This window comes from Homo sapiens, chromosome 13 (assembly GCF_000001405.40).
Source record: "Homo sapiens chromosome 13, GRCh38.p14 Primary Assembly".
Lineage (NCBI taxonomy): Eukaryota > Metazoa > Chordata > Mammalia > Primates > Hominidae > Homo > Homo sapiens.
The window spans coordinates 30814795-30824968 of record NC_000013.11 but is presented as its reverse complement, the minus strand read 5'-3'; the positions used below and the strand labels follow the sequence as shown (position 1 = coordinate 30824968).

The 10174-nt window shown below is 42.5% G+C and overlaps 1 annotated feature.

Annotated features, from left to right (window-relative positions):
• Window positions 1–530: an enhancer, noted in NCBI's record as "NANOG-H3K4me1 hESC enhancer chr13:31398576-31399105 (GRCh37/hg19 assembly coordinates)". NCBI's record gives its function as "activates a minimal SCP1, AML or CMV promoter by ChIP-STARR-seq in primed H9 embryonic stem cells {active_cell/tissue: H9 hESC(primed)}" and the evidence as "EXISTENCE:reporter gene assay evidence [ECO:0000049][PMID:30033119]".

Genomic DNA, 10174 nt, shown 5'->3' with positions numbered 1-10174 from the left:
TACAGAGCCACCCCCCGGACCCTGGAGGTGAATCGCTGGCTGCCACTGGCGCTGCGCGGGAGCACAGCCTGTCAGCAGGAACTTGGCAAGTAGAATTGTTTTCAAGCTGGGGAACTAACAGGTTGTTCCCGAGACAAGTTATATTGACCAAATCAAACAGAGGCAATTCTAACACAACCCCCACTGAGGTGTTGATTGGCTGGGCCTCGGCTTTCAGAGTTTTCAGAAGGTCTAAAACACCAAGGAGCAAGGCTACTGCCCCAAGGAACAATGTCAGGGATTACAAACCACTGCCGGACTCTGCCATGAGAAGTGAGGAAGTTAAGCAGAATTCCCCAGAACCCAGGGAGACAGCTTGCTGTGAGGAATCAAATGCTATGGAAATAGGCAAATAAATAGATGACGGTAGATAGATTAGATATAGATAGATAATAGATGATGATGATGCTAGATGATGATAGATAGATGAGAGAAAGACAGAGAAAAAGAGAGAGAGAGTCAATTTGGGGGTACCTAGCCTAAGATTTCTGAGGTCTCTGAGAATGACCCAGTTTCTGAGACAAAAATCTCAGCACAGACTATCATCATTTTATTTTTCTGATTTGTTTCATCTTCAGGTCTTAAAAAGGTATAATAACAAAGTCTTATTTGTTTTGTCATATAATAATCGTTCCTAATGAAAATATCAATGACATCAAATCAGAAAATCTCAGGGGTACAGGTGGCCAGAGATCCATGCTGGGCTTTACACAGAGATACTTCTGACCTTTGCCTTGGTGCACTGCAGTGGTGCCTCTATTCAAAGTAACCAGAAAAACGATATATGCAAATATATCTTGAGCACGATAACAGGAAACAATTAATTTTCCCGCATCTCGTAGTCCCATCTCACCCCTACAGCATAAGACCATTTGTTGACACCGAATACATTTTATTAATGCTTCAAAATAATTACCGCAACTTCACCAGGATGCCTTTGCTAGGAAGAATGACTTGGACCCCTGTAGAATATGACTTAGATGAAGCACCAGAGGGCTCTATTATATGGTGTCGCATGCCAGGGACTCCAGGGACCGCATTAGAGTAAGGAGCTCCCAATCCCCGGAAGCCAATGTGAAACAAATTGGGGGTGTCATCTGGTTAGCATTTTGCCTAGCAAAACTTCCCTTCCTGTGTGACAGGCACCCCTTGATTCAGGGACAGACACAGGGTCAAAAAACTAACTAATCTTCTAAATGAATAATACACTGGCCATCTCCTTGGATAAACAGAAAACTACCTAAACCTAAGGCGCTCTTTGTTTCTTTCTACCTTTCCTCCATATTCCTTTTTGAATTAATTTCTCTCCATCGTTTCTCGTTTGTGTCTCACCTCTTTTCTCTCTTTTCCTGAGGTTCATTCCTCCTTAAAAAGACACAGGACTTCAGCTCAAGTGCCTGCCACAATGTTTGTAAAATCCTGTTCCCCAAAGTGACACTAATGGTCTGTGGAACTTCTCTGGCCCTAATTACTTGGCAGTAGACATCTCAGTGGGCTGCTTCTCCCTGCAATCAGTTCCTTAGGTAATTACCACGAGCCAGAGCTGAAGCCGTGTGCTGAGGAAAGGGTGGCGTTGGGTTAGGCTGAAATGCCTACTCCTGACTTTAACGTGTGCACAGAAAGACAAGCCAATGCTAGCAAGTAAAATATGGAGCAGGAAGGACAGACTGACCCACCACATTACAAAAATCCAAATCACTGCTAATAGAAAAGAAGTCTCTTCTGCAAAGTTAATAATATTATTTCTTTAGACAAATCGCCAAGTCTTGGGTGGTTTCAAATCAACTTGCTTAGTGTGAGGTCTTCACATCTTGACTCTAGAATTCTGTCATGAAATGGGAAAACATCAAAGGACACCAAGGGCCAATGGGTAAGGTTTGCCTGTCTGGTTCATGCTGCCAAAGAGCTAAACTTTCAACATAAAATACATTCAAAATTAAAACAAGCCACAATGCCCCGTTTGTAGAGGCCTCCGTCAGTCTGAATATGTGGTGAGGAAGGCTCTGGAAGGGAAGAAAAACAGTTCTCATTGTGGTTCTGTCTCCTACATTGGACTACTTTGAACTACAATCTTGCAACACCCAATTACTGGCACTGGACTATCATCCTATGTTTTCTGAGCTATGGTTGTTATTGAAATGATCTCTGACCTGTTTTTCATAGTTTCCAGGAGTTGAAAGAGCAATTTCATTTTCTTTTTTCTTTTTTTTTTTTTGAGACTGAGTTTCACTCTTGTTGCCCAGGCTGGAGTGCAATGGCATGATCTCAGCTCACTGCAACTTCCACTTCCCAAGTTCAAACGATCCTCCTGCCTCAGCCTCCCGAGTAGCTGGGATTACAGGCATGCACCACCACGTCTGGCTGATTTTCTATTTTTTAGTAGAGATGGGGTTTCTCCATGTTGGTCAGGCTGGTCTCGAACTCCTGACCTCAGGTGATCCGCCCGCCTCGGCCTCCCAAAGTGCTGGGATTACAGGCGTGAGCCACCACGCCCAGCCAAGCAATTCCATTTTCAAAAGCTTTTAATTTACCCTCCTTTACAAGTTCACACTTAGTGCATCAATCAAGGACATTTTTGCTCTGTTCCTAGCACCTAGGACAGACAGTGCCCAGCACAGAGGAGGACCCCCATACCTACGGATTCAATGTTGGTCGAATGGAATAGAATGGAGCATGTTATGAGGTGATTTGTTTTCAGGCCATGATTTTCTGACTAAATGTTCCAATACTCATTCCAGCAACAAATTCATTAATTCAACAAATATTCATGGAGAGCCAATTTCATGCCAGCCTGGGCCTCTGGGGCCACAATGGTGAGCCAGGCAGGCAACCAGCCTTGTTAAAGACACTGAGAGAGAACCATGGTCTCCACCCTTGAGCTGCTTATAATAGGGTGAGGGAACAGAACAGATCGGAAGCAATTAGAAAACAATTAAGTGTTAAATTATACGCCTCTGACTAGCCCAGGGGAGTCTGGGAGGGAGAAAAAGCTCATGTAGTCATTGCTGTTTTCATGGAAGAGGTGATCTTTGGCTGAGCCTTGAAGGATTCCCTGGATTTGGGATGCAGAGCAGAGTGGGTAGAGTAGAATGTTCCTACAGGGAAGCAGCTACCCGGAACCACTCAAGGAAAACTGAAGTCTTAAAGGCCCAGTTACACCCTGGACCTGAATTGCCCCCAAAGAAAGAACTTGAAATCCTCTGGTGACTTAAAGGAGTTTGAATTGGACTTGGAGATATTTAGTTTCTTCACAAGTCTAACTTTCCTTCCTCTAACATGCTAGAACATGAACTTGCAATGATTTCCTTCAGGCCATTGTCTTGGGAGAGAGGTTGTCAGTCCAGAGGGACTGCATCGGAATCTCCTGGGGACCTTTTCTCCTTGGCTCCAACCACCAGAGTCTCTGATTCAGTAGATATGATAGGATATCCAGGGATCTGTATATTTTTAAAGCTCCCCAAGTGATTTTATTAATCATCTTGGTTTGGGAGCTACTCTCTTAGATTTATTTCAAAGACATTCCCTCTCCGAAATCAGAATAAAAGGTATAGGCATATAGTAACTAAAAAAGTAGGTACGACTTATGTCCATAAATCCCTCTAACAGACAATCTGGAGAATTTATAGGGGAAATAAATCAACCTGACACACTCTACTTCCTTGACCTTCTAAATGAGTCAAAATGATCAAAATTTGGCCAAAATGAATTAAAATTTACCATTATGGAATGGGCACAGCCTGATGAAAGAAAATGAAGGGAGAGATTTTCTCTTTATTTAAAATATTAAAAAGCTGAAGCTGTTAGTGAGTTGGAGTTAACTAATGTACTCCCTTTCCTTATTAAGCTCAATTTGTGTCTCTAATTCAAGGCAAAAAAATGTCCATTTGTATATAAGATGTTCCAAGCATAGAAACCAGGAACAGGCTGAGTCTGATGTCTCACACCTGGAATCCCAGCACTTTGGGAGGCCAAAGCAGGAGGATCGCCTGAGATCAGGAGTTCAAGATCAGCCTAGGCAACATAGTGAGACCCCATCTCTACAAAAATATTTTTAAAATTAGCCAGGTATGGTAGTGGGTGGTCCCAACTACTCTGGAGGCTGAAGCAGGAGGATTGCTTCAGCCCAGGAAGTCAAGGCTGCAGTGAGTCATGATCTCACCACTGCACTCCAGCCTGGTGGACAGAGCAAGACTCCATCTCAAAAACAAAAATAAATAAACAAACAAAACCAATCAAGAAAAGCATATTTATTTCTTTAGTTACGTGAACTGCTTAGAGAATAATGCTCCGTCCGTCAGGATTAAGAGGGTTGAGAGGACGATTATGGATCTGTGTGTGCCATGTTCTATCTCTCAGTCCTCTCCAGACTTTAATAGGCAGTGCTTCTTAATGTTTCAAGATGTCTTCCTGCTCTTAGACTCACCTCACAAATCCCTCGTTCCATTTTCTTTTACATATCTAATTTATACTCTGTGCTGAGGACTGGTTTGCATTTTCTCTCTTTGGCTACGTATTCAATTCCCATTACTGTCAATGGAGTTATGCGCTCAAACTGAAGGCTTAAAATCTACCTGCAAATTCTTCCTTGGCCAACACACACACACACACACACACACACACACACACACACACAGGCTTCTTCCCTTCTCACTGTGATCTTAACTCTTGTTTAATCCAGGACACCAGGGTTCAATTTCTTTGTGAGAGTTCTAAAATCCGACTGAGCTTCCCCTGAGGTGATCACAGTATGTGGAAATTAACTAGTTTCTCCTATTCTGAACCAGTACTGGTTTCAGAGGTCTGAACGGCTCAGAGGACGCACTTATTCTCTGTAGGCATAACTGAAAACTTCGTTTATTACCTGTTCATTATTAGTTCTGAATCACTGGGAGCAAACCTTCATGTATTTATTCATCATCCTCTGCTAGGGGCAGATTATCATTCGATGGCACCTAATTTTCTCCTAAACTTTTTGTCTAAATCGTTTTAACAAATAACCAGCCCAATAATTATGCTGGTGTTCTAGTAACACTAAACAGAAGATGCATTACAAGCACATTCACCAAAAAGCTCGGTCATAAATACTCCACATCATTATTGCTATGATGTCACTGCACTTTCAGCATCCAATTTGATGAGAGCTGTAGGATTCAAGATTTACTTCCGTGAAAACTGATAAGTGTAAAACGTAAGGCCAAAGCACCAGGGCCAATTATATCTACAGTCTTGTTACATTTGTCATAATCCTACAGCAAAAGAAACACCAAACTAATCATTAACTTGACAAGCTATTCACTCCAGACCTGCCTTCCTATTACATGTGCCTTAGAAGATTTGGAGCATTCTTTTCTGTTAGAATTCTTTGTGGTATCAAATAAATACTCCTTTTTTCTTCAAAGCTGACTATTTTGGATTATTCTGATGAGTTGGGAGAGACATCAAAGGTCCTTTCTGTAGGTGAGTCAGTTGGTTCATTCACTTACTGAGTACGTATTATGCAGGCATGTCATGCCAGGCACCATGGATGTGACTGGGAGTACAACAGTGGCAAAACCAGACACAGCCCCTGGTCACATGAAGGCCCAGTCTAGTCAGGGAGACGCAAGAAGTCTGAGTAATGACACCAACAAATAAATAATCCCAAGCGGGGCTGAGATTTAGCATGGAAGAAGTGGCTCTTCAAGAGCAGGTGGCCAGACACCCAGCCTAGGCTGAGGGTCAGGGCAGCTGTGACCAAAAGAGGGAGATGCCTGAGACAGGAAGGAGGAGTGAGGCAGGGATGGCACAGGGAGCGGCAGGTGCCAGAAGCTGGTGGGTGGGGACATAGTACTTGGACATGCTATGCAAAGGGGACAAGGGCACCTGAGCACGAGGAGCCAGGATAGGTACAGACAGGGGCCCGATGTGGTGGAGCCTTGGGAGCACCCTTAGGAATGCAGTCTTTATCTTAAAGGAGACTGGGACCCATAGGTTTTAACAAGGTGAGACGCAATCAGATTTACATATAGAAAAGTGTTTGGGTGAGTAGATTGAATAGAGGAGGACCAAATATGAAGCTGGCTTAGGCATGCAAGGCTGGGGTCTGAGGCCAGGAAACAGAGTGTAGGAACAGCTGGAAATAAGGGGTGGAAGTGAGAATTACAGAGGAGGTGAAAGAAACAGGCACTTGAGAGAGGAGAGATTTCTGAGGAGAGGATTTCTGAGGGGGCGGGTGCGTCAATGAGGACTCCAACACGTCCGACTTGCATAACTTAGTGAGTGCCGTGCCATTCACCAGGAGTGGGCCAGGCTGGAGGGGTGGATGTGGTGAAATATCTGAGTGGTGAGGCTGAGCAGACCTTTGGAGATATGCAGAGGAGAGATGTGGGCTGGAGACATGAACTTGGAATTCATCACCATCTAGATGGTCGTCAATGTCCTGGGCATGAATGATGAGCCAAGGGAGAGAACAGAATGAATCTCGGGTTCCTGGAAAATGACTCTGGAATGTGGGGCTGATATGAGTCATGGAACTTCACATCAAGCTCCTGCATTTCAGGTCCAAACCCATTCACTGCTGTGCAACCCGTCTATGACCGTAACAGCTAAAAATAAAAAGGCTTTGCTCTACACATGAGAAACCTTAGGAAAAAGGCTTCAGTAGGACAGACCATCAAATAACACAGGATTCTGGTGTTTATAAAGTCATTTATCACAGGCCGGGTGCGTGCCTCACACCTGTAGTCCCAGCACTTTGGGAGGCTGAGGCGGGTGGATCACAAAGTCAGGAGTTTAAGACCAGCCTGGCCAAGATGGTGAAACCCCGCCTCTAGTAAAAATACAAAAATTAGCTGGGGGTGGTGGCAGGTGCCTGTAATCCCAGCTACTTGGGAGGCTGAGGCAGAGAATTGCTTGAACCCAAGAGGCAGAGAATTGCTTGAACCCAAGAGGCAGAGGTTGCAGTGAGCCAAGATCACACCACTGCACTCCAGCCTGGGCGACAGAGCGATACTCTGTCTCAAAAAAAAAAAAAAAAGTCGTTTATCACAAAGTTTGAGTCAAGTCTGCCTGCATGTGCCTAACTACGCACACTCCTCCGTGGACCAATTGGCATGGTCAGGCTGAGACAGCCCCTGGGGGACAGGCTTAGTTCCTAATGAGATTGAGACGGAATGGGTCCCAGAAGTTTTCTTTTCATGGTTCACTTGTACAGAATCAAAGATGCTCACTCAGGTCTCTCTGCTCATATATCTTGCTCACTAATTTGATTAACCCCTATCAGCCAAGCCCAGGATATATGGGATCCTGGGACAAAGATCTTTGTTTTTTTTGTTGTTGCCCACTGAGAACATGTTGATCAAGGTGTAGTGTAATTATCAGTCCATGAACTCATCAGCCCACTTTTTGTTGTAGTAAACAAATGCAAATTCGGATTCTTGAGCGCATTTCTTTCTTCCTCTCTGTTTTCAGATACGGGCCCTAATAATCAAATCACTAATCTGCGTATTTTTATGTTGCCTTAACTGGTAGGCAAGCATTCAGAATTTCCTAGTGCACCAGTCACTTGTAAATGTCGGTGGTCTATAGCGTGTTGCACCAGACTGGGGGATGACAAGATGTGAAGAAAAGGCCATTTCTGCCGTATGTCAGAGGCATTCTGGCATATAACCCCATGCACAGAAAGTGGTAGGACCTAAGATATTCACCATCATGTCACAGGTTTTGATTTCCAAAAGCTGGTTCCCCAGAGACTGGTGTCATACTTCTAAGGAAGCCATCTGCAATTTGGTCTGCTACAATCACACAGACTAAAATCCATAGTCCTTCAGACTTTCCTTCAATTTCTTCAATGCCCCATGCCCTCTATTTTGCCTCCTGATTTTTGAGCCTGTTTCTGTCCAGGTTCTTCTTTTCCCCTGTCCTCCCTCTTGGTGTGTCTAAATCTTACTCACCCTCAGGACTCAGGACTCAGCTTAGCTGTCACTTCCTCCAGGAAACCTCTTCTGACCTCTCTTCCTCTTTCAAGCTCCCCCGACGGTTGTTTTCCCAGCACCTCCACTCCCCCACCCTGACGCTAGACCCCAATGGAAACGTCTAAGTACTGAAACTCCCTCTAGACCAACACTCCAGATCAGCTCAGCCAGGACTGCGCAAACATCATCCTCACTGCCATATGCCTCTCGCCTAGTGCCATGTGTTAAATAAGTAAGAATCAAATAGCCAAGGGACTCCTCCATCTCCGACTCTGTGGGAGAGGCAAATCCAGCTGGAAAAATGAAAACAAAACTGGAAGGCCCACAGCCATGCTAGAGGAAGACATAGGACTCTGTGTCTTGCCTAAGGATCCGCTGTGGCTAAGCGAGGAATCGGGACTATAATCAGCTTGTTTCCTATTCTGTGCAGTACACTTCAGCTCTTTTGAGCCTCAATTTCCCCATCTATAAAGTCAGGGTGAGAACATTACCTAATTCCTAGAACTGTTGCCAGGAAAAGTGAGATATGTTTTAAAAAAATCCTAATGAGTCCCTAACACACTCTACAAACATAAGGGAGAAACCTTCAGAATGGGACATCAGGCACTGCTGGTAAAAGGTGAAATGGTACAACTGCGGCAGAGGGAAATATGGCAGTATCCAGCAAGATTACATATACATTTGCCCTTTGAAGAAGCAATCCCACTTCTAGAAATTCATTCCAAAGATAAACTGGCAAAAATACGAAACGTGTGTAACAAATGTGTGTAACTATTTTTTAAAACCTTAATTTAAAAAAAAGCAGTTCCTAAAATCAAAACCAATTGAAACAAATAAACTTAGCTCCATATCTTCTAGATGTTATAACCACACAGAACTATACCAGGTAAATTTAAAACAAAATTATTCCATTATTGCATTGTATGTTTCTTGAGGAATATACTCTAAGGACAGGGACTAGACAAAAAATCTTGAAAATCTAAACTGTTTTCAGTAAAGATATTGTTGGTAATAACATTGGTTTGTATGTGTATTGGGAGATAAAGCAATTTCAGCATGGAAGAAAGAAAAAAACTTACAAAACCAATGAGATTCCGCATATTTCTAAAGTGACTTATCATTGTAAACTCAAGATATAATTTATCCTAAAAAATAAAATGGATTTTAATTCTTACCTCTGACCACTGAAAAGACAAAAATGTATACCTTAGTGGCTTCTAAACAACATTTCCTACTAAAGGGAATGGAGGCTCCTTGGAGAAATGGCTGGTATTAGGTCTGGGGGAGAACATGTGTAAGACAAGCATGAACTTAAGGAAATAAAGAAACTATCAAAGTCACATCAGATGTCAACGGAAAACGCTCCCACCATCAAAGGGTCAGTCTGAGCACCAACAAGAATCCTAAATGCAAGAGATTGAAATGTGTCTAATTTTTTTATAATGATACTAAAAAATAAACAACCTTATTGGTCAACTTTGGAGATGTTGAAGAACCAATTCAATACTTTCAAAAAACTAGAAAATCAAGGGGAAATATCCAGCATTTTTCCTTTCTTTCCTAAATGATCTCTATCTTTGGATAATTGAAGAGTTGATGAGAGTGATTTTTTAACAGAACATATCAGCTAATAAATGGAGAGGGAAGAAAAGAATTAGAATATCACCATTATGCAAGTCCTAAAAAATGAATGGATCTAAACCAGCAATTAGCAATTGGAATTTAAAATTAAAAAAATATAATGTCATTTTCATGAACACCAAAAAATGAAATACTTTGATATAAATCAAACAAAACATGTATAGAATCTATATGTGGAAAACGATACAACTCTGATGAAAACAATCAGAGATCTTAATAAATGGAGTGATATCCCATGTTTACTGATAAGGAAACTCAATATTATTAAGATGCCAATATCCCCCAGCTTCATCTATAGAGTCAATGCAATCCCAATTAAAATTCCAACAAGTTTTTGTGTGGCTATCAAAAAGCTGAATTTTACAGTTTTCATGGAAAGGTGAAAGACCCAAAAAAGCCAACAAAATACTGAAAAAGAGCATAGCCAGAGGACTGACATTACCTGACTTCAATACTTACCATAAAGCTACAGTAATCAGGACAGAGTGATATTGATGAGCGAATAGACAAATAGATCAGTGGAGCAGAACAGAAACAGATCC